The sequence below is a fragment of the Homo sapiens genome, chromosome 3 (genome assembly GCF_000001405.40).
Source record: "Homo sapiens chromosome 3, GRCh38.p14 Primary Assembly".
NCBI lineage: Eukaryota > Metazoa > Chordata > Mammalia > Primates > Hominidae > Homo > Homo sapiens.
Window position 1 is genome coordinate 149,377,660 of NC_000003.12, and position 27,224 is coordinate 149,404,883.

Below are 27,224 nucleotides of genomic sequence, written 5' to 3' on the forward strand. Positions count from 1 at the left end.
TCCTGCTACCTCTTAAATACTGCGATTCTTAGTCACTGAGGGGATGAGGTACTTTGCTTTCATTGGTCCTAATGGCAGGCTCTGGCTGTGGTGCGAAGAGGCAGGGGGAATGTCCCGCCCTTCAGACGAAATCCTTGGGACAGGCAAAACCAGGGGCAGGATGTGAGAAACAGCCTCAGTCATAGGCAACAGGGAAAATGATTAATCTTGAACAAGGCATTGACTGTGCAACTCCTCCACAAGATAAAGAATCAACAGGAAAGCCTAACATGACTTTCCAGTAACTGCCAAGTGTCCGAGATGCAACAGCCCTGGTTGAGGCTTTGAAAGACAGTGAGCTGTGCCCCTGCTCCATGCAGCTGTCTGGACAGCTTCCAATCTGAGAGCTCTGTGTTCATTTCTACCTTTGTGCTGATTTAATTTACAACCTGGGGCAAATCTCCTGAGCTCATTTCCTTGTCTATTAAATACAAGGTGTCTGAGACGTCTCCCATGGATTTGAGAAGGCTGTTGGGAAAACTACAGAGCAAACTTCTTTACTCTGCCTACAGCAAGCTCTGCAGGATGGATTTCAGTGTTCAGCGTCCCTGGACATCTGCCTCTAAAACAAATCTGCACCACAACAGAGGTGGCATCAGTCAACACAAAGGGCTCAGGTGCTTTTTAAAAATTATTGAGTGTTGCTGTCAGGAAAAGCAATGCCAGGAAGGGCCAAGGAAGGCCTAAAGCATGGGACAAAAATAAAAAGAGGAAGAAGAGAGGGGGAGGAAGAGAATGGGAGAGAAGGAAAGAGGAAAGGAGGAAGGAAGAGAGGAAGGAAAGAAGAGAAGGAGGGAGAGAAGGAGAGAGGGAAAAAGGGAGGAAGGGAGGGAGGGAGGAAGGAAGGAAGGAAAAAAGGAAGGAAGGATGGGGGGAGGGAAGGAAGGAGGGAGAGGGAGAAAAAAATAAGACAAAGGGACTTGGCAAGCAGAGTGGAGAAACAAGGTTCAGAGAAACAGAACTGGCTAGGAGTGTCAGAACCCACACAGAGGTAAACAGATGGTTTACCCAGCCAGATCCTGAGACCAGCTTCCACAGGCTCCCCACACAGGGCAGAGAAAGGGTGTTAGACTAACTTTCTAGGTGGTTACCTTGCAGAAGGAGGGGCTGGGCACTGAATAAATTTATGCCTTGAACAGCAGATTGCACCAGCCAGTGGATGGTGGTGGGAGGTGGACAGGGTGGCCGGGTGGGGCCAGGCCTGGAGGGCCTTGTCACCAGGACAAGATAGAGAGTACAGAAAATAGAAAAGGACCAAGGTAGGGAGGCATTAGCTTAGAAGAAGAAGGTGAATGAGGTTCACGAATCTAGAGTCTGAAGGATTTGGCCCGGAACTAGAGGGCGGGACACATACCAAATTTGAGGAGACCAGCTGTGGTTAGTGATGTGGCATGGGACCGGAGGAGGGCCCAAGAAGTGTGGCCTCAGCACACTAACAGGGGTGAAGCCAGAATCCAGGATGGCCTGAGGAAATAAATCAGTGGAGTTGGGAAGCGTGGAACCACCCACCTGCTCAGGCGGAGGCAGGCAAATCCTCATAAGAGTGTCATTGGGTCACCACTATGTGTCCAACAACAGGGAACGTGTGTTTGGCCCGATGGCTTAGAGACAGGATTCCACTGGTGACAGAGCCTATGGGTGAATGACGGCATCCTTTGTTGAAGCATAATCATTGCAACCCTCCTGTCTGCTGATCTATCCCACCTGGGGCCAAAATGGGGGAAAGTGATGCTTAAACTACTGATATGGTTAGGCTTTGTGTCCCCACCCAAATCTCATCTTGAATTGTAATCCCCATAATCCTCACGTGTCAAGTGAGAGACTGGGGGGAGGGAACTGAATCATGGCAGCAGTTTCCCCCATGCTGTTCTTGTGATAGTGAGTGAGTTCTCATGAGATCTGACAGTTTTATACGGAGCTCTTCCCCCTTCTCTTGATGATTGTCTTTCCTGTTGCCTTGTAAAGAAGGTGTCTTGCGGCCAGGCGCAGTGGCTCACGCCTGTAATCCCAGCACTTTGGGAGGCCGAGGCGGGTGGATCACAAGGTCAGGAGATCGAGACCATCCTGGCCAACATGGTGAAACCCTGTCTCTACTAAAAATGCAAAAATTAGCTGGGCGTGGTGGCGAGCACCTGTAATCCCAGCTACTGGGGAGGCTGAGGCAGGAGAATGGTGTGAACCCGGCAGGCGGAGTTTGCAGTGAGCCGAGATAGCACCACTACACTCCAGCCTGGGTGACAGAGCGAGACTCAGTTTCAAAAAAAGAACAAAACAAAAAGAAGGTGTCTTGCTTCTCCTTCACCTTCCTCTATAATGGAAAGTTTCCCAAGGCTTCCCCAACCATGCAGAACTGTGAGTCAATTAAACTTCTTTCCTTTATACTGGGAAGTGAGGAGCCCCTCTGCCCGGCCAGCCACCCCGTCCAGGAGGGAGGTGGGGGGTCAGCCCCCCGCCCGGCCAGCCGCCCCGTCTCGGAGGGAGGTGGGGGGACAGCCCCCCGCCCGACCAGCCGCCCCGTGCGGAGGGAGGTGGGGGAGCAGCCCCCCGCCCCGCAGCGCCCTGCCGGGAGTGAGGGGGCTCTCCCGGCCGCCCTACTGGGAAGTGAGGGGCCCTCTGCCCGGCCAGCCGCCCCGTCTGGGAGGGAGGTTTGGGGGTCAGCCCCCCGCCCGACCAGCCGCCCCGTCCGGGAGGGAGGTGGGGGAGTCAGCCCCCCGCCCGGCCAGCCGCCTTGTCCGGGAGGTGAGGGGCGCCTCTGCCCGGCCGCCCCTACTGGGAAGTGAGGAGCCCCTCTGCCCGGCCAGCCGCCCCGTCCGGGAGGGAGGTGTGGGGGTCAGCCCCCCGCCCGGCCAGCCGCCTTGTCCGGGAGGTGAGGGGCGCCTCTGCCCGGCCGCCCCTACTGGGAAGTGAGGAGCCCCTCTGCCCGGCCAGCCGCCCCGTCCGGGAGGGAGGTGGGGGAGTCAGCCCCCCGCCCGGCCAGCCGCCTTGTCCGGGAGGTGAGGGGCGCCTCTGCCCGGCCGCCCCTACTGGGAAGTGAGGAGCCCCTCTGCCCGGCCAGCCACCCTGTCCGGGAGGGAGGTGGGGGGGTCAGCCCCCCGCCCGGCCAGCCGCCCCGTCCGGGAGGTGAGGGGCGTCTCTGCCCGGCCGCCCTTACTGGGAAGTGAGGAGCCCCTCTGCCCGGCCACCACCCCGTCTGGGAGGTGTGCCCAACAGCTCATTGAGAACGGGCCAGGATGACAATCGCGGCTTTGTGGAATAGAAAGGGGGGAAAGGTGGGGAAAAGATTGAGAAATCGGATGGTTGCCGTGTCTGTGTAGAAAGAAGTAGACATGGGAGACTTTTCATTTTGTTCTGTACTAAGAAAAATTCTTCTGCCTTGGGATCCTGTTGATCTGTGACCTTACCCCCAACCCTGTGCTCTCTGAAACATGTGCTGTGTCCACTCAGGGTTAAATGGATTAAGGGCGGTGCAAGATGTGCTTTGTTAAACAGATGCTTGAAGGCAGCATGCTGGTTAAGAGTCGTCACCACTCCCTAATCTCAAGTACCCAGGGACACAAACACTACGGAAGGGCAGGGTCCTCTGCCTAGGAAAACCAGAGACCTTTGTTCACTTGTTTATCTGCTGACCTTCCCTCCACTATTGTCCTATGACCCTGCCAAATCCCCCTCTGTGAGAAACACCCAAGAATGATCAATAAAAAAAAAAAAAAACCCTCTCCCCAGAAAAAAGAAACATACATGCTGCAGGATGCTGCTCATACATAATTTTGTCAAAGAAGTCCTTTCTGAAGACCTATTTAGTGAAGATATTCCCCCTATCTCTAGTTATGCTCCATCACATTACTCTGCTGTATTATCATCACAGAATTTATCAGCCTCTGAAGTTATTCTGTGTATTTGCTTGTTTCCTTTTCTGTTGTCATCTTCCCTCCCCTCCCCACTGAGCGCAGACACCTTCTGCCTTGTCCACCATTGTTTCCCCAGTACCTGGAGCATGTCTGGTGCATAATAGGTGCTCAGTAAATAGTATTGAATAGTTGGATGACTAAAATAAGTGAATCTATGAGTTTTTAAGCCTCTTTTTAACCCGGCTGATGCTCCAGTCTCCCCACCCTCAATTTCATTATGCCTCTCTGTGAGCCCAAGATCTACCAGCCACTCACACCATTGCTCCCAGGGCCTACCACTGCCTGGTTGTTCGATTTGGGGCAAGCTACTAACCATTGTGTACCGTGTACCTCTATTTCTATAATTCATTCATTCACCAACATCTATTGATTCCTACTATGTGTTATAAGTGCTGAGGATATAGCAGTAAGCAAAGCAAACAACAAAATTCCTGCCTTTAAGGAGTATCCACTCTATCAAAAAGAGAGAGGCAAATAAAAAATAGTAAGTAAAACACAGAGGGTATTAGATGGTGATAAGAGCAGAAAAGGGGAATAGGTGGGAGAAGGAGAAGGCCTTACTGAGAGGACCTCTCTGAGACAAATAATAGAATCTGCCTCATAGGGTTGTGGTATGCAGAAATGAGTCAATGTGCGTAAAGCTTGAAGCATCTGGCATTTAGCAGTCACTCAAAAAAAGTTACTTATGATTATTTACTATTTTTATCAGCCCGCTCTCTCAGAGGAGATGTCTCTATCTGTGATTCATTATATTTACTTTTCTGGGATTCTATCACTCCAATATATGTTGGATTCCTTTGTTATCTTTCGTGATAAAGTTTAAAATACTGGACTTCCCCCGGTTATAGTAAAACTCATTTCTAGCTCCCTCATCCCTTCTGGAATCACCCTTAATCCATGATACCCTTGGAAGCGGTGGTTTTTACTGCATCACAGAACTGCAGGTTCCAGAGCATGAGCTGCTGGTTCTCAGCCCCATGTTTTGGATATGCCAAAACTGCCAGAAAGGCCCTGCTATTCTTGCCCAGCCTACCCTACCCCTGCCTTGTTACCCTGACTGAACTTGTTACTTCATCCATGATGCCTTTCGTCACACCCCTGCCTGCTTCCCCCACCACCCCACCCTCAGCCTGCTCATGACTCCCGCTTTGTTCTTACACACACCACACCTGCATGGCAGCTCCGATCCGACCACGAGGCATGAGTGTGTATCCTCCTTAGCTTCCCCACCTTCACTGAAGTCTCAGAGAGCAGGGACCTTCTATTTTCTTCTTTGAGGGCACAGCAGCTAGCATAGTGTCAGGCATTTAGTTGGCTCTCAATATTCGCCAAATTTTTTTTGGATGAAGAGGGAAGTTGAATATGTTCAGTTCTAAGATTAGTGTTTAAGCAAAGTCAAAACATCTTATGAAAAGTTAGGGAAAATTGACATTTACTATATTTAAATTAGAAAATGTTCAATTTTACCTATCATTAACATAAGCAGCTGGTATATGCTTCTTAGGGTTAGCTCTTTCAACCTTTTCATGCACAGAATGTGGCTTCAAGAATAATTCCAGGGGAAACTCCTTTTGCTTATATCAAGTGCTATATAAGCATAGATTTTCATGCTGAAAGAAGCCTCATAGAGTGAATGGAATCATTATGGCCATTTTATAGTTAATCCCACAGGGGTTAAAAACTCTTCCCAAGGTCATCTAGCTAGTTGGCAGTGGAACTGGGTTACCTTTAAGAATTAACATAAACAGTCTATGATTCTATGTGGTTGTGAGATTCTAGAAGGAAGATTTGAACTCAGATCTCCTGCACCCCAGTTGTGTTTTTCCACATGCATTTCTCCTTCCTTGTAGTTTCTTACTCATTTGAACATGACAAATGTAATGATTCCTATATAGTAACAATGCTCATTAGAGCATTCTGATTATAGTAACAGAAGCCAGTTGAGTTACCTAAAACAAAGGGGCATTAATTATAAACTTCAAAGGTGGAGATGCAGATAGGATGATGGAACTCACGGACAGGGGAACAAAGGTCTGGAAATTCGGAATGTCATACTCCACATTTTGCATTTTTGACTCTTTCTATCCATATACTTTATTCTTCTTAGTGCAGTCTCATTGTCTCTGGTTCTCAGTTCACACACAAAAAATATGGCTACTGACAGTTCTGAAGTTTATAGTTTTTTCAGTTCAAGAGATTCATCCCAAGTCCAGATTGTGAGAGAAGGGACATGCATTGGACAAGACCAGGCCAGGTGCCCATGCCTGTGGGGTCAGGTGCCCATGCCTGTGGGGCCTGCATAAACATGGCTGCTGGGAGCCATCCCTGCAACCAGGTACATGCAGGAGAAGTCATTCTCAGGAAAAGGTGAGTGTGGGACCAGGCAGGGAAGCCAGTTTCTGTCCTTTATTTGGAACCATAATCAAGGCAGACAACCACAGTAAAGAGATGCAGAGGCAGGGAGTAGTGTAAAACCACCTTACACACAGCTTCCTGGCTTTCCCTTCACTTTAGGTTGTAGCTCAAGTTATTCTTGGGCTAAAAAATAAGCTCTGTTGGCCCAATTAAACCAGAATTAATCACCAATTCCCCATCTTTATCTGGTAATTTTAGTTCAACATTGCTCAGCTGATGGCTCATTAAGCCAAGAACTCTCCCAGGTCTCAGTTACCATTTTCAGACAAGACACCTCCTGGGGTGCCTGCCCTGTGGTCTGAAGCTCAAGATGTGGCTCTGGGTCTCCCTTCCTGAGGGCTAGCTACCCAGAAGGGCTGGTGTGACTTCCTCTTGAATGGGTGAGCTGAAGGCATCCAGGGCACCTAGGGCAACTAGTGCATAAATACTTGAAGGGGAAAGGACTCTCATGTTCTGATTTGAGTATCATTTCCTTGGGTTGAATAATTAGAGCCTGGCATGTGAGATGTGGAGGGCTTCAAAGACCATTTGATTTTCAACAGAAAACGGTCTATGGTTTTCTAAAACGACACACCCTGATTCAGCCCAAGGGAAACAGAATGTCTGTGGGTGAGGCCAGGAATCTGCATTTTAAGTAAGTCCTCCAAATGACTCCAGTGCCCAAGCAGAGTTGAAGTCCACTGATGTAGGTGGCCCAACTTTCTAGTTTTATACATGAGGCTACGCAAGTCCAGCAAGGTTCATTTCAGTTGAGAAGAAAAACCATTGATTAAAATAAAAAAAAAAAACCCTAAAAACTTTAAACTGATGAATTCATGTGTTTGCACCTTTTGAACCCGGTTCACCAAGTGGTTCTCTTTGTGAGGCAGGAGAAGTAGCAGGCCACTTGCAGCTCCTCTCTCTGTCTGATGGGAGACCAGGTCCTCCCTGGGAAAAGTAGCAAGTTCTCTCCTGCTGGCCTCCTTCCACAGATCACAGCTGCCTTTGGGGAGAATGACAAAAACTGTTCAGGGTTCCTGGGTAATACGTATCCAGTTTCTGTGCATTCAGGGGAAGAGGAGCGTGGAGCAGAAGGAGAGTGGGCACATGCAAGTCACTCTGATGCCGTCATTTAACTTTACAGCTCCGTTGTGCAAAGCTGTTTACAGGTGAGGAAACTGAAGCTCATCTGGGTTAAGCATGCAGGCCAAAGTCACAAGGCTGGCGAGTAATTAGGCCTGGATTCCTCCTACGCAAGTCTCCCTGACTCACATACCCATGCTCTTTCCTTCACACACTGGGCTGATTTTACTACAATGTTGATCAGATTCGGGGACTGTTTCTTTGGCACTTCTAAATAACACAATTTTGAGACATTAATCACTTGGATTCTACTTTAATTCGATGAATGATTTCAAGGTTAACCTGATGTCTCAAAATTAAAGCTACAGCTCCTGTTCTACAAACTTGGTTTTACTGTAGCAAAATAGAACTATCAACAAACAAGAGATGTGTGCAATGAAAAGTTTTTAAAAGAATTGTCTAGATTCAGTAGAGGAGAGAAATAATAGGGCCTATTTTCATTTCCTTTACCCTGGTCTAACTTGTAAAAGGATTTCCCTACCTGTGTCACTGGTCATGATTGCAAGTTGTCCAGGTTCTTGGCGTTTTGAACAAAGAATTGGACAAAACGCCCAGCAAAGCAAAGAATGGAGCAACAAAAGAACAAAAGCAGGGATTTATTGAAAATGAAAGTACACTCCACAGTGTGGAAGTGGGCCCGAGCACCAGCTCAAGGGCCCAAATACAGAATCTTCTTGGGTCCAAATACCCCTGGAAGTTTCTCATTGGCCACTTCATGCTTACCTCATGTAAATGAAGTGGTAGCCCGCAATCAGTCTGATTGCTTGCAGAAAGCAGCCAACCAGAGGATGAAGTGAAGTTACAAAGGTCACACTCCTGTGCAAACATCTGATTGGTTGCAAAAAGCAACCAATCAGAGGGTAGGGTGAAGTTACAAAGTTATACTTCTATGCAAACTGAAGACTCCGTCCACAATCAGTCTGATCAGAGCCACAGTCAGACCATTCAGAGTCTGGAGTGAAGTTACTAAATTGCAAACAAAGTCTCTACCAGCAATAAGTCTGATTTGTCGCTTACAGACAACTTCCCAACTGCCACGCAGAAAAGGTCAAAGGGAGTAGCCTCTGGTCCTTCTGTTACTGAGGCATGGAAAGTTAGGGTTTTCCTTTCAATTTAGTTCTAGGAAGTCAGTGTGAAAAGCCTTAGGTTCCCTGCCTCCAGTCTCTATTCTCCTGCCTCACATGGCCTTTTGACCTTATATAAAATATGCTTGCTTTTTTGCAGAAAGGTTGGGGTGAAACTCTCCACTCCTGCTTTCATACCATTTGAAGTTCAGACCAGTGAGATTTCCATCAGTTGGGAGTTGAAGATGCCACAAGGACAAGAACTGAGGATGGTTTGCTCAGAGCTGATTTTTAGACACCATTTTCCAGGGATCCCTGGTGACAGAGGAGCATTTTTTTTGTGGTTGAGTTCTGAATTAAAAAGTGTCGTACTATATATTTGTTTGGTCATTTCTATGACTTCAGCACTCTCAAAGACTTGGACAGAAGCATAAATAAGAGGCAGTGTGAGCATTCTCCAAGTAATCATTCCAAGTTGGTGAGTTCATACTCCACCTAGACCTCATGGCCTCGCCACTCTCAGTCAAACTGGTTTTTGTGGTTGTCAAAGTCCAACATGGCAAATTTCCCACTGATACTAAGTGAGTTGAAAACTCAAGTTACAGTTGATTTTGCCCTAGGGAATTTTACCAAGAACAGCTTTACAGCAGTGGAGAGTTGAAACGTGTGTGTGTGTGTGTGTGTGTGAGAGAGAGAGAGAGAGAGAGACAGAACGAGTGAGCATATGTGTTAGAAAGACAGACACCCAAAAAAATGTCAGATTTGGTTTGGCTACACTTCTTGCTCTTCTGGCCCAGGTGGACAGTTGACCTTCCTTCCCCCTACCTGTTCATAGTCTCTGACTGGCTTTGATGCGGGAGAACTGAAGTCCAAATAAGCATGACCCTAGCCTCTAATACAAACACCGTGCTTCAGATTTCCTCCCCAGAAAGGGAGTTGAGATTCTAACTAGCTGAGTCATCTAGTGACAACTCCCTTCATTGTGTTATGTTACAAAAACATAGTTGTTCACTATGGGAACCCGGATGGGAAATCCATTCCACTTTCAGGTTAAACCGTTAGCCTGGCCAAATGACTGTAAGATTCTACAAGGTCCTGATTTTTCAATAATGCCTTCACCATGATTTGGAAATTACTTTTTCAGACTTAGAAGGTGAGGAAAACTTGAGCAAGAATTGCAAAGGAACTGAAAAACCAATTTGAAACATAAACATTATCTGGAATGTTTATAATGCATGTATTCCTTGTCCAATAGAAACCAAATAAGCTTCTCTGATGAGACCCTTCAGAATAGCTGTCCCTAAGAGGAACTAAATCAGGAATTGGGGATAGCTGGCAAGAAGACATCAAAGAAAGCTCAGGATGTGGAATCTCTACATTGCCCTGGATCTTCTTTTGCAGGTGCAGGTTCCTAGAGTTCTTATTCACCATCCTGAGGACACCAGGGGAATAAAAAGGATTGCAGGGCCTCGTCCTTCTTGACCTTCTCCCCCTCTGATTTCCTGACTGTCTTCTCAGTGGTCCTGATGTCTTCTATAATGACTCGATGTTTTTAGGAATCAGAGTCCTGGACACAGAGACACATCCAGGTTTGGCACCAGGCTTGTGTGAGTTCTTTTCTATTTTTTTAATGAAGAAGAAGGAAGAACATAAACAAGTGTAAGTGGAAAGCATTTTTTTTCCTTCTAGATCACATATGTGACATTTTACAGGGATTTCTTCTAGGTTGTCAATACATTAAAGACAACTAAAAAGATTATTACAGGGAATTCTTAAAGTCTTAAAGGAAGATAGTCTCACAGGAGGATGAGATCTCTGACAAATCAATACGTTAATTATTGTCTGAAAAGGACGTGGAGCAAGATTTCCCCCTCATTTTCATTCTTCAGTTAGAGCTTCTGATCAACATAAGGATCATTCACCCAACAAATATTTACTGAGTAATCCCTGAATGTCAGGCATGAGTCTAAGAGCGTCACACTCATATCTTACTACGTTCCACAGCAACCTTCTGAGGTAGGTGCTATCGTAAACACTATCACACAGGGTATAAAACTGTAAGAGCTTAAGTGCCTTTCCCAAGGCTTCACAGATTGTCCAGCGTGGCCAGAATTTTAATTCAGGCAGTCTAGATCCAGAGCCTCTTAATCACTGTACGGTGTTGCCTCCAACCTGGAGGAACTGGTCTGAAGAGAACAAGTATTACCACGAGTGTTAATACCATTATAGGTAAAATACACGTAGTGCCTAGATATTGGTTTCTAAATATGGTTCTCCAATGAAAGGAATGAAGGCACTTTGGACTTCGGAGAAGTGGTGGCTGATATCAGGGCTGAAACAACAATATGAGATGATTATGGAATATTTTGTGCTGGTGTTCTGTGTTCTTTCATGAGATGATCATTCAGGTGAGGTCACAAGAGGACATATAAGGAGGCTCAGGAAAACACAGTTTACTGTACTCACAGATCCTAAAGACAAGAGGCACAGGACACCACAAAGGGCCTTGGGGGAAAGCTCTGGGGTGGCCAGGAGGCAGAGGGGCAGGAGTGAGAGGAGATCCAGGCCCATGGTCATGTGAAAAGCAGGGCAAGATGAACTGTTTAGGTTTGAATACTTTCCATAGGCTCTAAGCCATAGAGGTGTCCCCTAGTTGCCTGGTACCTGGCCTTGGAATGACTAAAGCAGAGAAGGGTTACCTCTTGTGTGTATAGCCAAATAGAAGAGATAAGGATCTGGTCTGGTTAGTTTACATATTAGAGACATGCTCCTGGCTGAGAGGGGTGTTGGTCTCTGTCCCCAGCTCTACTGGGAAAGGATTCACTTTGAAGCTTACTCAGGTTGTTGGCAGAATTTATTTCCTAGTATTTGTAGGACTCATGATTTTTCGAAGTCAGCAGGAGAGCAAGACTCTAGAGTGAGTCTACCAGCAAGACAGATCCTTACATAATGTAACACAATCACAGGAGTGACATCCCATCACCTTTGCCTTATCTTATTGATTAGAAGCAAGTCACAGGTCCCACCCACACTCAAGAGGAGGGGATTATATGAGGATGTGAATACTAGGAGTCAGGGATTTGGCGGGGACATGATAAAGTTGGCCATGGTGATGCTGTGTTCTCATTGCATCCTATGAGGTGGTTTACCATACCCCTTAGTCTACTACAAGCGATGTTTACTTGAATCACTTGATGAAGGTGGTGTCCACCAGGCTTCTCCAGTGCACTTACTCTTTTCCCCCTTTGTAAATAGTATTTTGTGGGGAGATGCATTCAGACAATGTCAATATTGCTTTTTCATCAAACTTTTAGTTAATATCTCTATGAACTCATGAAGTCCTATTTTGTTCAATGAATTATAATCCATTACTAGTGCTCAAATTGTCCCAGATTTGGCCTGTGAAAGCCCTTTAAAGCTGGCTCCTGTGTCCTTTTCACAGGACATTATTCTTTGGCCACTTCCTTACTTTCTGGATGTATTATTTATATTTTTTATTTTCTGTATATTATAATGTTTTGATTTCTTAAAAATCTTGATTATAGCCTCATAGAATACCCAGCTAAACTGCCCAGTCTTGATCCACAGGAACTGTGAGATAATAATTATGTGTTGCTTTTAGCTGCTATGTGAAAATTGATTGACCGCAATACAGAAAACCAATATAGTTGTTTCTATTTTATTCTTGCCAAAGATGCCTGCAATCTTCACTTGCATCAAGATAACAAAAGTAAGGAAAGACTGAGGAAACATGCTAGGTTGAAGGAGACTGAGGACATATAACCACACAATGCAAGATACTATTTTGAATTGGATACTGGACCGGAGGGAAAACTATTGCTATTAAGGACATTACTCTGACAATTGGTAAAATTTAAAATTGGTAAAATTTAAATATGGACTGTGGGTTAGATAACAGCATTTTATAAATGTTTAATTTCCTCATTTTCATTATTATAGTATGGTGGTTATGTAGAAAATTATAAAGTGAATATGACAAGATGTTAATTTGTGAATGTAGTAAAGGGTATATGGGAGGTATTCGTACTATTCGTGCAACTTGGTAGTAAGTTTGAAGTTATTTCAACATAAAAAGAATAGTCCAGCCATGTTTATTCATACCTGTAATCCCAAGACTTTGGGAGGCCGAGGCAGGAGGATCTCTTCAGCCCAGGAGTTCGAGAATAGCCTGGGCAACACAGTGAGACATCAGGTCTACAAAAATATCAAAAAATTAGTCAGGCATTGTGGCATACACCTGTAGTCCCAGCTACTCAGGAGGCTTAGGTGGGAGGATTGCTTAAGCCCAGGAAGTCAGGGCTGCAGTGAGTTGTGATTGCACCACTTAAGCCTGGGTGACAGAGTGAAAAAATAAAAAATAAAAAAAATTTATATTGTTAGATTTTATTTTTAGAATAGTATTGGAAATCATTCAAATAGCTCTTTTGCCTCTGTGGGAACTTTAGGGACTTGGGGAGCACTAACATATAAGATACTCACCTACCAGTGTCACATAGGTATAAAGAGCATGAATGATACATAACCTTTTATCACATTATATAGGTTTTGTGTGTTGTCAGGAATTTGATGTCAAGGCTTCCCTTTATGACTAATTCTTATGTGTCATTCACCTAGAAGCAATAATCCTTGGATTGGTGTGCAGTAAATTTGGTGTGACAACAATGTTGTCATTGGTAGACCCTGATGAGACACAGTCCAGCTCTCTTTCTGGCCTGAGGCCCTTGTTCCTCCTCCTGCTGACAGCGTGCTATGAGTGTTAGCCATCCACAGCCCAGACTCTCTCAGGGACTGCCCTCTGCCTAAGGAAGCTGCGTCACCCAAGCCATGGCCCCTCCCTGAGGAGAAGCCATCTCTAACCACTGAGGAGGCGGACTATACCTGGCTTCCTTGCCTCAAGTGACAAACTCGGTAGGGCCATCCTAGCTCCACAGCTGTCTGTGGGGTTGGCCGAGGCCTCCGTTGAACTGCATCAGAGTTCATCTGCTGCCCAGCCCTGCTTCTCTCACTCCTCTCCCCTCATAGGGATGATCCTGAGGGCACTCCCTGAGAGACAACCTGCAAGCTCATCTCCACCCACAATCTGTTTCCCAGGGAAGCCCGTAGTCAGCACATGCCTTCTCCAAACCCATCAACTCACCTCCCGAACCCCAGGCTGCCCGACGACATTGCTGCTGCTTCCTATGGAATGCAGACAGGAACATTTCTGATCCATAAGGAACATGAATTTTTAAATTCCGATTAAAAAAAATCCCAACACATGTATAGGGCCTAAAAGAAATGAGTTAGTTCAACTCCCTACTGCCAAATTTGGCAAAAAAAAAAAAAAAAAAAAACCAACAAAACAAAAGGGTATTTCTCAGACCCTCTTGTGATACAATGTCCCTTTTCAGGACAAATTGATGTTTAATGATTTTGTTTACTTAAAAAAAATTTAACATATACAAAATTAGAATAATATAAAGCCCCATCGATTTCCCTCACCTGGCTCCAACAATTATCCGTGACCAATCTATCTGCTTTGATACCTCAACTATTCCCACATTATTTGAAGCATATTCCAGATATAGTATTATTTCATCTGTTTTTTAGTATCTTTAGAAGAGAATGAACACTTTGAAAAAACATAATCCTCATAGCATTATGTAAAATATTACAAATTAGTAAAACAAGTTCTTTAATATCATCAAATATCCTTTCAGTGTTGAAATTTCCAGTTGTTTCGTAAATATTATAAAAGTTGCTTTGTTTATACAGTTTGTATATCTGAATCAAAATCCAAATAAGGTCTGCGTATCATGATTGGTTGATAGTCTCTGAAGTTTCCCCTCCACCTACCTCTTTTTCTCTCCCTTTCAGTTGCTTTGTTGAAGAAAGCTGTAGAGTTTCCCGCAGTCCACAGACTGGAAACCTCTTCTATTGCTTAACACGCCAATTGGCCGTTGGACCTGGACACTTCATCAGATTCAAAGTTTTTTGGTTCTTTTTTTTTTTTCCTGTATTTGGCAAAACCACTTTTTATGTGGGATTGCGCTTTTTCATTAGGATGCACCTAAGGCCAAGTTGTTTTCCTTTTGGTAAAGCTCACAGCTGTGGGTGGCCAATGCCTGGGTATAATCATTCATTAGGAATTATGAATTTTCTCATTCTGTTTTAATTTATTAGCTGGATTACTTTTTATGAAAGGAAACTTCTCCTTGTCTATTATTTGATGACCTGGAGACTCAGTTTGCATTAAAAAGTTAGAATAGGGCCGGGTGCCCTGTAATCCCAGCACTTTGGGAGGCCAAGGTGGGCAGATCACCTGAGGTCGGGAGTTTGAGACCAGCCTGACCAACATGGAGAAACCTTGTGTCTACTAAAAATACAAAATTAGCCGGGAGTGGTGGTGCATGCCTGTAATCCCAGCTACTTGGGAGGCTGAGGCAGGAGAATTGCTTTAACCCGGGAGGAGGAGGTTGCAGTGAGCCGAGATCGCACCATTGCACTCCAGCCTAGGCAACAAGAGCAAAACTCTGTCTCAAAAAAAAAAAAAAAAGTTACAATAAATGCTAGATTCTTTGCCTGGATTTACCAATTTTTAAAATAATTTGTTAGTTCCCCATCATCTACCCAGTATGACCAATTAATTTTCATTTTGTTTAACATTAGTATGAACTTTATGCATTCATAATGTATTTCATCATAGCCATTGCAGTTATTATCTTTATTGATGCTTAAGTTGCTCTGTCTTTGGTCAGTAGAAGCCTCTTCAAGTTAGTTCATGAGTCCTTTTGCCATGGCCCTAGTCATCTTCGTACCTTTCTTGCTATGTGGTATTAATAAGAGGTGCCAGGCTCATCTTGTACATTTCCTGCCCGAGACCTGCACTCAGTCATTTCTCTAAGAAGTCCTGGTTCTTTTTGAATAGTATTTCAAAACCATCATATAGGCTCAAGGAGGAGTGCCCCGTAATTTTTTTAACTTTTATTTGAAATTTTATCATGTATATTTATTATTTTATTTATTCCACACAAATTATACATAAGTACACAGGTGAAAAAAAAGTCAAAGTAAAAAATTTTCCCACGCCTTTCCCATGCTACTTCCTCTGCCAGAGATAACTATAGTTAGCAATTTGTTGTGAATTCTTCTAGAGTTTTTCTTAGATAGTATTGTTACCTAAATAAGACTAAGGCACTTAAGATTCCAGATTATATTTTAATCTATTTGGAATATTCAAAGAAACAGAAGTCTGAGAGAAAAATATAATGGACTGCAATTTAAATCTTCTTTGGGATCAACAGCCAGAGCCTCCGCATTGCCAACTCCAGGGGGTGCTGTGTACATTCAGGTCTCTGTGACTGATGTCCCCTGGCGTTTGCAACACAGCAAACCTGCTAACAAACCAATAGTACAATGAGCAAGGGGTATGAACACACAGAAAAGAAGATGGTTCATAAATATATGAAAAGATGTTCAAATTTGCTTTTGACAAGAGAGTGCAAAATAAAACCACCAAAATATTATTTTTCATCTCTCGGATTGGCAAGGATTAAAATGCTTGTTAACATACCCTTATTCAGTGTTGGTAGAACGACTGCATTTTCAGCAGTTTGGCAATATGTATTCAATTATAAATTTATTTGCAGTTGCTAATTTAAAACACTTCTAAAAATATACCCTACACATACACTTGAGTGTTTGGGAAATGATGTATGTATAAGGCAGGGTTTCTTAACTCTAAGTAAAATTTGTCATTTCCTTTAATTATGAAAGCAAGCAGGAAACCATGATAGTATCAGCCTATGCCTTTGTTACCAATAAAATCACAGATATTTTACATCACATTACAATTGTTGCAGATATTTTGAAACAGCATTTATGCTCACTCATATTTTGAAATTACAAGAATTTGATCCACTGCTAGATCTTATTAAGTTTTAATAAATAAGTACATATATTTCTAAATAAATGTTTATATAAAGAATATTTTGATACCTATATATCAGCATAATTGGTTTCCTTTTAATCCTGAGAATTTTGCATGCACTTGAAAATATTTTATTAAGAAGAAATTAATAGGCTTCACCAGACTGCCAAAGGGGTTCATGACACAAAATAAATTAAAAATTTACAGCATCGTGTATATAATAGCAAATGATCAAAGCAACCAAAAGTGGAAACTGACCAAAAACCATTTGTACCTTGCTATAGTGAATACTCTGCAGCTGAAAAAAAAAAGGAATGAAGAATCTGCCTAATAAAATGAAACAATATCCAAGATATTTTACAGAGAGTAAAGCAGGATACAAAATAATTTATGTAGCAAGCTGCTACTTGTTTAAAAAAAATGAAAGAGAGAGTGAATATATACAAATGTCTGTTTGCTTGTATGTGCATAAAATAGCTCTGGAGGACACACAGTAAACTGATAATATTGGTGGCTTCTGGGGATGAGAACTGGGTGGTTTGGGGCTGGAGTGTTATGGAGACTTTTTCCTGATAAAACCTACAGGACCTTTAAAAATTTTGAACCTTGCAAAAGTATAATCTATTCAAAAATTAAATTTAAAAAAGGGAACACTTAAGAACTCCTTACTGGAGTCTGTACAGGAGATTCATACATAGCCCCAAGGCAACACCTGGTCGAGTCCTGTCTCTCCTCCTCTGTGGAGCCTCAGCCTGCTCTGCAGCAAGCCTTGTAGCTTCTATGCCCTCAATCTCCTATTCTGAACCCCCAATCATAACTTTCTCTCTAAGGCTTCTTTGGCTCTTGCCTTTTCCAACACCTTTAGCATTTTCTCATTAGCCTAGTCTAATGCAGAACAAGCGCACTCCAGCCCTGTCTCTCTATTTTTGCTGCACACAAATTGTTACAAGTCAACTAGGCATTGGTGGAACTGTTCTTAATGGGCAATGAAGTATGTGAATATTCACAAGTTTTTTGTTTCAAATATTTTTTATGTTTTCATAATATAATTATTTTAAAATAAAATCCTATTCATAGAATGAGGGTAAATTTTTAGTTTGTTGGTCACAAGTGGGGCCTAATCACTACTAGTTGTAAGAGGTCATAAATATTATGGGATTAGATCACTGAAATATTTCATCTTCCCAAAACTCCTCTGATAAATTTTCCACTCTTTCAAAAATGAAGCCAAGTTTCAGCACAGTACAGTGATGACCACCCTTGTCCAATACATCTTTGGCAATATAGGGTAAATTTATACTATAAAAGTAAAATATTTTGAAGAAAACGTTAATGCCAAGCCCTGAGTGATGATACTAGCATGAGTAATGATTGCCAAAATTATGCAAGTTTCAAAACAAATTTAAGCAGGGTTTATAAATATTTGTTTAGAGCCTTATAACAAATGCTGACTCTTCTTGAGATTTGTGTCAGCAGAAGGAAGCCTGCTATATTTTTGGAAAATATTTTGTTTAAAAGGTTCTTTGTATGATCAACAAAACTATAGCAAGGTCTTTCCAAAAGAATCTGCATGAACAAATAATTTAAAATTAAAATATAACCTTATTATTTTTACGGCGGACTCTGGGAAAATATCTGAGTTCTCAACAGAAACTGCCAGTTTGTTGTTGAGTGAGAGATGTGTTTTCTTTGGAGTCATGAACAGGATGAAGAAAACTGGGACAACTGCCAAGACTGGGCTTTGGGTATCTCCATGCTGCAGAACAGAACAGGGCAGCCAGTGGATGTGGTGGGGGTGGGATTTAGAGAGGAGAGGGATAAAATTTCCTGTGGCTTCTGAAGAGCTGAATAACAAGGTCAGTTATTAAGAAAGGAATAACTGGTATTTCCAGCTTCTTTTCTCATCCATGACACCTAGTACAAAAGTTTTCCCAGATTGCGTTCACAAAGGAGGGGCATGGAGGTTAAGTCTTCGGAGTTGAAGACACAGAAGCTACCCAATTTAAGGAAACATTTGATTTTCCTCAGGCTAGGAGTGGGGAGTGTGCACAGGAATCAGGCAGGTTTCTGGAAGGGCCTTGGCTTCTTCATACACGTGTGCTAGCCAGGAATTATTTTGGGATGTGCTTTAGAAGCTCAACACTTAACGCCAAGCTCACAGGAGACATTGAGATCCTGAAGGTCTCTGTGAACCTGTGTGTGGTCAAGGAGTGGACCACCCTGAGGTGCATCTCTGGTCTGGCTGGAACATATGGCCTGTCCAATGCTTTCAAACACTGGTGAGCCACCGAAGACTCTGACAAGGAACCTGCAAGCTTCTGTCACTCCAAACACTAGGAGATTTTTGGATGAACACCAAAGCCGCCAAATATTACTGAGATTGAATTTTCTACCGTCACATGAGTGAAAGTACAGAACTAATTTTTCTGTCACATTTACACACCAGAAAGTGGCACAGTGACATTCGTACCTGCTATATTGGAAGTATTTCTATGCAGTCAAGTTTAAAGTTCACCTTCCCTGGGCTACTACTGCTCCCATGCAAACACACATGCACGCACACACTTCTGTCAACATCTTAGAAGTAAGATCGGCTGGGGCTGGCTAACCTCCCTACCCTTCTTTACATACCCTTCAGTCTTCATGTTGCCTGTCTCATTTGTCTCCTTTTACTTGTTGGCCTCGTTCATTTTTCATTCAATTAATTCTGCAGAAAATCTAAAGAACCTAATATTTGCCTGTAACTCAAGGGCATAATTTCGGTCTCAAAATGGTCACGGTCTAGAGTTTGATGTTGAGTCGAGGGTAGAAGGGTATGGTGGGAGGACATGAGAGCAGTGCCTGCCCATGGAAGGAGGACAGGGGATTTTAGCAGTACAGAGGAGTAGGTAACCCAATCTGGAACAAGAGTAGGGGTCAGGTGAAAATTTTACAAGAAACTGATGACTTAGTATTAGCAGATCTTAAGTTGCAGAGAGTAAATAGGGACAAGAAGAGCATTCTAGGGAGATAGATTAGTCAGGAAAATTCATGGGGACATGAAAAATATGGTCTGCTTCCTGAACCTCAGAGTTTAGCATTGTAAAAATATAAGCTCCAGGGGGAGCAACCAAACACTCTTTCTCCCCATTCTTGTGCGGTTTCTAAACATGCTCTGCAAACTGCCCTTAATAGTCATCTAACTTATTTTTCCACCTCTCAAGAGTCTGCCCAGTGTGGATCCATGTAAGAAGCAGCAGCAAACCAAGCAAAATGATTTCTAGCAGCAAAATGAAAGACTCAACTAGACTGTTGGGAGAGTTTTATCAGACAATTCCTGAGCTTCTCCTGCTATATAGGATTAATCAATATATATTAATCAAATGCCTGGACCCTTTCATTTCTGTACCTAGATTAAGATTTGTAATATAATCGTTTTTTGAGAACAAGCATATATTAACAGATGTTACTGCAAGAAATATATTATCTCATGTGAACAGATTGAATGTATAATGTAGTGCTTGTCAGTTGAAAATAAAATTATGAAATTATTTCATGCATAATTTGATTACCTAGGCTGACAGGACACAGAGAGTTAGGTCAGGGCATGGATTTTCACATAAACACAAATGTTGTTTTCAGACTCAATGCAGAAGGTCTTCTTCAAGGTAAGATCTTATCGTTGGCTAATTCCTCCACATAGATATTCCTTCCCTTTCCACTTTATTCTGTCTTAAACTGTCATTCCTTTCAGGAAATGTCCCATGAACCAAACTCATTTTGTTTTCAGCACAACGCTAATTTTGCCAAGAATAAAAAGGGACATCATTTCTATGAATGTTTATTGCACATGTGCTATCTGTCAAGAATTCATTCAATCAAGTAAATAAATGGAAGAGATGATGAAATTAAGGAATTGTTGCCCTAACATCTCTCTTCCTTAAAAAAAAAAAAGTTTTGAAAATTTTGTTCCTAGGGAATAATTTAAGATTTTCAGTGAATGTCTTTTTAGAGCAAGTTTTTAAAACTTTTATTTGCACTGTGGACCCATGTGGTAGCAGAGTGACACCTGTACCCCTCTCAGAGTAATGTTTTTAAAGGCATAAAATAGAATACATAAGATTCTATTTGAAATAGACAATTGAAATAGAAAAATAATTATATGGAAATACAATTATCAAAATGACTCTTAAAACTTCATTATAAAATAACATATGTGTGTTTCTTAACATATTAAATAATAAGATCCAGCTACCGTATTTTGAAGTTGTGATGAGTGCAAAGGATAGTTTCAAGGTACAGTTGTGCATTGCTTGATGGTGAAGCACCATCCTGAGTACATCAGGGTACATCCTGAGAAATGTGTCATTAGGCAATTTTGTCACTGTGCAAATATCCACAAAGTGTACTTACACAAACCTATGATGATATAGCCTACTACACAACTGGATGTATAGTTTAGACTATTGTTCCTAGGCTGCAGCAAGTTACTGTACTGAATACTGTAAGAAATTGTCACACAACAGAAGGCATTTGTGTATCCAGACATAGAAAATGTACAGTAAACATATATAATCTTATGGGACCACTGTTGCATAAGCAGTCTGTAGTTAACTGGAATTTTTATGCAGTGCATTACTATATTTAAAATTATGTGATAGGAAAATATATTGTATTTATATTGGTGACATACTTATAGGAAGAGCTAATAATTGCCATGGTTTGGAGTCTAAATTCATAACTGAGAGAAATGCTAGAAGTTCAAGAAATCAAAAACAGGAATTTTTTTCTTCATCCAGGCCCATGGACTGCCTGAATTCTATCCCTGGACCCAAAGAACCCTTGTTTTCAGGGGCCCAAGATCAACATATTGACTCAATTTCTGCCATTAATATAGAGATGACCCTAATGCGATCAATTTCTTAACAAGAAGGCAAGGAGCTTCTTAATCCTTGATTATAAGATATGAGAAGGAAGAGGAGGTTTACTATTGTGTTGTCCCTCTAAGATGCTTCACTGCAAACTCATTCTGCACTCTCTCCTACCATAATCCATTCTAACTATTTCAGAATTTACTTTTTAAAAAGTTTTAACCCAGAGGCAGCCCAGAAGAATGAAACAACCATGAGCTTGACAGAGGCCTCTTAAGCCCCAGCTTCATCTCCTGCGTGACCTTGGTATGTCCCTTAACCTTGATTGTCAGTTTATTCACCATAAAACAGGTGCAATTATGCCTACGTAGCAGTGTCATAGTGATGTTTAAACATGATGACAATTATGAAAATGATTTGTAAGCTACGAAGAGCTGTGCAGTCTTTTCTATGTCTTTTTCTCACTATAGTACAGGACTATGGGATAAGAGAAAGGCAAAGCTAATGACAGTACATTAAGGAACAAGAGCCCAGGTTTGATTGGTACAGAGCATGAGAAAAGCAGAGAATATTCCCTACACACTGGAGGATCTCAGAGCTTTTTTCCCTGCTACTTCATGGCTGTATAAAAGCATTCTGCCCCACCAGCCCTCACAAGAACAACAAAAGTCCACGTTTGCTTTAGCCACCCAAGTGTTCATCCTTCCATCCACCCACAGTCATGAGAGGATCTTAGAAATGGCTTTGCAGGTGCCAACCAATTGGAATTACATGGGCAAATGATCCAAATAGACATATTAATATCTCCAAAGACAGACAAATGACCACAAATATATATATGAAAAAATTCTCAACATCATTAATCATCAGAGAGATGCAAATCAAAACCACAATGAAATATCACCTCACCCCTGTTAGAACGGCTATTGTGAAAACAACAAAAAATAACAAATGCTGACAAGGATGCAGAAAAGGGGGAACCCTTATACACTGTTGGTGGGAGTGTGAATTAGTAAACCCATTGTGGAAAATAGTGTGGAGGTTTCTCAAAAAACTAAAAATAGAACTACCATATGATCCAGCAATTCTACTGGATCTACCTAATTCTATTAGGTAGTTATCCAAAGGAAAGAAGTCAGTATATCAAAGGGATATCTGCATTCCCATGTTTATAGCAGTACTATTCCCAATAGCCAATGTATGGAATCAACCAAAATGTCCATCAACAGAAGAATAGAAAGAAAATGTGAGATACACAATGGAATACTACTTGGCCATAAAAAAGAATAAAATTCTGTCATTCATGGCAATATGGATGAGCCAGGAAGACATTATGTTAAGCAAAATAACCCAGGCACAGAAAGATAAGTACTGCATGTTCTTACTCATGTGTGGGGGCTAAAAAAATTCTGTGCTAATAGAAGTAGAGAGTAGAATTTTGACTATTACAGGCTGGGAACGGTAGGGGGCTGGGGAGGTTGGGGAGAGGTTGGTTAACAGATACAAAATTACAGCTAGATAGAAGGAAGGAATTCTGGTGCTCTACAGCACTGCAAGGGGAATATGGTTAAAGATAATTTATTGCATATTTTTAAAAAGCTAAAAGAGAGGATTTTGAATGTTCACAATACAAAGAAATGATACATATTTGAGATGATGGATGTGCTGATTACTCTCATATGATCATTATCCATTGTATACATGGGTATTGAAATATGACTGTATCCCATAATATATACAATTATTACATGTCAACTAAAAATAAAAAGAAAAGTAAAAAATAAAAATTCAATCATGTATACATAGCACTCAAGGGCATATTTGCTTAATCCTTAGAATGACATTTTGTTCAGTGCAAAAGAGTGATGCAAGAAGTTAAAAGCAATGTGCTGGGTATACTCCTTACTAATAATACTAACAATACTTCTATTTATATAAACTTCTGTGGTCTTCAAAGCCCTTCTAAATGTATAACCAAAATGTTGAGAAAAGGCTATATGGTTGTTACATTTACTGACCAGAATTGAGCTATTTTGTTTGATGCTCAAAACAATGTTTGATATAGGTAGAGAAGGTGTTTTATTACTTCATCGTTATTATTATTATTTTACAACTGGAAAAACTAAGAGAGTTCAGATGACTTGCCCAGAATCCAGAAAAAGTAGCAAGACTGGAAGTAAACCTATGTTTCCAATCCTAGTACCTTTTCTCTCCTAATATATCATACAGTTTCTAAGATAATTATGAAAGGTGATTGACTTGAAATCACTTGTTTACCTTTGAAGAGAGATTTTCTTTCCAGATCTCCAGTTGCCTGTCACTACCCTCTGTCAAGACCCTTGGAGTCATGACTAACAGGAAGGGAGCAGGTGGCAGCGTGGCCACCTGCCATGCAGAAAGACTGGGTCACTTCCTGTTGGTAAAGGGTTTCCTGGTTCAGGTTTGTTAGGCATTCTAAAATGGAGAGAAAAACAAATGCACCTCTAAAGTACATGGAAAAATAAACACCAAAGTCAATGTTTTTGTGTTCCAAATGAAAATGTCACTCTAAAGAGAATCAGCTGTTATTTTTAGAAAGAAAGAATAAAATTTCAGCTCTGTATACCAAAACTATAGCCTCATCCATTAGGGACACTGATGTAGAAGCAAGTAGAAACTATCCAAAGTCTGCAGTTCCTACCTGACTAGGTAATGCTTAAATAAATAATCAGTTCTCATCATGCAACTCAATGTTTAGCTGAGTCCAAACATACTGCTGCCAACATTTTAAAGTCAACAACGATATCTAAAATAAACATAGGCTGACTAACACACACTGGTACTTTAATGAAAATATATTGTGAAATAGCTCCTTGCCAATAGAAGTTCTTGCGCTCCTTCTTTGGATAACTGTGGACTATTCAACAGAATGTTAAGCCACCTATATTTTTTAAATTAATTAATTCAACAACCTCCCCCCTTTTTCGAGCACTTACTCTTAAGAATTTGAAGGATCTGAGATTTTAGCTTATTTTATCCTATTTTGAAGCTATTTGTTAGCTTGCCAGTTTCAAAGGAACTGGTAGAAGTCATGAGATTCTTGGGTCAGAGACAAGTGACTTTGTTACAGCAGTAGCAGTAGCCAGTTTCAGCATTTGAGAGGAACTCTGAGCTTAGGGAAATCAGGCCTTTTACACCGAACAGGAAGCATGCCTACTCATTACTCTTGAGACACTTTTTCACTCTTCCAAGGTGGTTTGCTACACAAACACCCTTGAAAAATAGTCCAGAACAAAGTCAGTCAATCCCTTTACTCATGAGACATGTAGAAATGTGAGAAATCCAAGGAGAATTGTCTCCAGACACTTACTCTCTACCAGACATTGTAATAGATGCTAAACATACGAAGATAGAAAGAAAGAACATGCTACCTAATTCTTGATAAATATAATAGTGCTAATAAATTCAACTGACATTAAACTCTCAAGTTCTGTCCATAGAAAATGTAGGAAGTTCAGTTTGTTTAGTAACCCTCTTTAAATTCTTCTAATCAAGAAAATTGGTGAAGTATTCACAAGGCAGAAAGCCTGCCTTTTCATCACCAGCTTGTTTGCCAGTGAAGTGTTGAAGTACTATGTGTTGGCAAAATGGAACTAACGCATTACAATTACATTAGAGTGCAATATCTCCGCACTTTCCAAAGTTTTCAGTCTGTGGCATAATGATCAAGATGACATAAAGGCAAAGGTCACTGGCAGGGGAAGTAGATAAGAAAAAAGTGAAAGCCTATAGAAAAATATTATCAAGGAAACCTTTCTTAATTGTACTGATAGGACTTTGCTATAAAAGAAATTAGAATTAAGCCACACCAAAATTCAGAGCAAAACACCCGACTCTAGCAAATGCATGAGTTACAAATGCCTTTAGAATACAATTTAGAGGTGCGTTTTTCTTTTTTTCCTAAAACAAAACAAAAGGGATACATGTGTAGAATGTGCAGGTTTGTTACCTAGGTATACGTGTGCCATGGTGGTTTGCTGCACCTATTGATCCGTCCTGTAAGTTCCCTCCCTTCACCCCCCACCCTCCACCCCCCACCGCCCAACACGCCCTAGTGTGTGATGTTCTTCTCTCTGTGTCCATGTGTTCTCATTGTTCAACTCCCACTTATGAGTGAGAACATGCAGTGTTTGGTTAGAGGTGAGTTTTTCTATGGGGACTTGAGCATTATTACCAGAATGAATTTAAAAACAAAATTTTAAAATTCCACCGAAAATATATAGTCTGAGCCTCTGAAAAAGACATAGACATGTTACCTAAATCATTTCAACTTCAGTTAATGCTTTATAATGCCATTTCTCCCATTATTCTGATCCAGCTCCCTTTAGGCTCACTCGGTTTTTAACAAGGAACTTTTCAAAAGTAAATTGACTTCCTAGGCAGACTTTTCCACAAGTGAGAGAAACTTCTGACCTGACAATATGGATATTTCAGACTCTTTAATAGCACTCTTTTTTTTTTTCCATTCCAAATTAGTTAATTGGAGGTTTGATTTTTCAATAAGGCTCTTGTGAATTTAGTCAGCGTAAGCCACTTCCATCAGAGTCTTTCTCCTGGGTAACATGAAAATAACTACTGGATATTTTGAAGATGCAAACAAACTGTTGAGAAATACTTTGTTCCTAAGTGGACTCACGCTGAGGCTCCACTGACAAGTGCAAGTCCTCTGGAGACTGAATGGCTTACCTGATGGCTGTTCTCCCTTTGATTTTTTTCAATGTAATAATAATTTTGTCTTTTTCCTTTGATTTTTCCATGAAAGTTAAAATTTAAGAACATGTTGAAGATCTATCTCTAGTATAGTACACAAAACACCATTTCCTACATCTGAGCTAATATTACTCTCTTGGGCTACCTACAAAACTGGCAATTTCTATGTAGGGTAGCATACAGTCATGTCTGTAATTCTTTGATCTGTCACAGGTACAGGAGTTCCTCTAAGATTATAGATGTATATTTATAAAACTGGTAACATATACTACACTTGATTTCAGCCAAAATGCTGAGAAATGATTTTATATATATGTATATATGTATGTATATGTATGTACACACACAAATACATATATGCATATATAGGATTGCCAGCATATATATAAATATAGTATTTTGAGACATAGTGAAATAATATTGGATAACAAAGACCTAAGTGGAAATACAATGTATGTTTAGATTATTTAAAATAATTTAATAATAGTAAATAATTATCCCCAAATTAATTTATCATCCTGAACTATTTGAATCATTTAGCACTTAGGAAATTTTTTAATTTCCCAGTGTTTCGGGAACTTTTCCCAAGAGTATTGATTCCAGTGTACTTTGATTGTGAGGAAATGCTGTGAAACAAGTCTTGTTATCTCCATATTCAGAGGCATCCAATGTTGTGATTGTTCTTAGAAAGATTATAAAAGTCATAAAACTTACCACAGTGAAGAGAATTAATAAAATACTTTTATAATATCTATTGTCTGTGTCTGAAAGAGTTAATGCTAAGGGTAATGTGGCTGTTAGGTGGGGTTCTGAGGAAATAGCGGGAGAGGCCCTGGTGAGGCGTCTCCATGAGAACCTACCCCACAAACCCATTCACTTACCCATAGCAAGAGATTTCCAGAGCAAAACCTCCTTGGATGTGTAAGGAGGAAGGAAGGAAAAATCAAACCAGTGGAGCCAAATTTGCTTCTCTATGATTTCTTTTTGGGTCACCATCAGTCAGAGGTGTGTGCCTTTTCCCAGCTGTCAATAACCTGAGTCATAAGAGAAGGAAGATAGCAGATCACCCAGAGGAGGTGATGAACCATAGCCAATCAATTTTTGCAGGAAATGGTGTGGGCATTTGAAGAGAGATTAAACATGCGCA

At 41.4% G+C, this 27,224-nt stretch overlaps 2 long non-coding RNA genes across 5 annotated transcripts, besides 1 other annotated feature; one reads left to right on the forward strand and one right to left on the reverse strand.

The window, feature by feature from the left end:
- Window positions 1-118: 118 nt before the first annotated feature.
- On the forward strand, window positions 119-8,924 carry TM4SF1-AS1 (TM4SF1 antisense RNA 1). Of its 3 annotated transcripts, NR_109809.1 has the most exons (3): window positions 119-656; window positions 7,334-7,510; window positions 8,709-8,924. It is a non-coding gene; the product is annotated as a TM4SF1 antisense RNA 1 (long non-coding RNA). The 3 variants fall into 3 exon arrangements; NR_046650.1 differs by lacking the exon at window positions 7,334-7,510; NR_109810.1 differs by lacking the exon at window positions 7,334-7,510 and having other exon boundaries at window positions 8,713-8,924.
- Window positions 9,109-10,308: an enhancer, noted in NCBI's record as "P300/CBP strongly-dependent group 1 enhancer chr3:149104555-149105754 (GRCh37/hg19 assembly coordinates)". NCBI's record gives its function as "activates an origin of replication core promoter dependent on BRD2, BRD4, P300/CBP, MED14 and CDK7 cofactors, with strong dependence on P300/CBP, by STARR-seq in HCT116 cells {active_cell/tissue: HCT116}" and the evidence as "EXISTENCE:reporter gene assay evidence [ECO:0000049][PMID:35650434]".
- Window positions 15,753-27,131, reverse strand: LOC105374151 (uncharacterized). Of its 2 annotated transcripts, none has more exons than XR_924574.3 (3): window positions 26,959-27,131; window positions 23,606-23,782; window positions 15,753-15,942 (listed from the first exon to the last, which is right to left on the reverse strand). It is a non-coding gene; the product is annotated as an uncharacterized LOC105374151 (long non-coding RNA). The 2 variants fall into 2 exon arrangements; XR_924573.3 differs by having other exon boundaries at window positions 15,753-15,945.
- Between the last annotated feature and the right edge of the window lie 93 nt (window positions 27,132-27,224).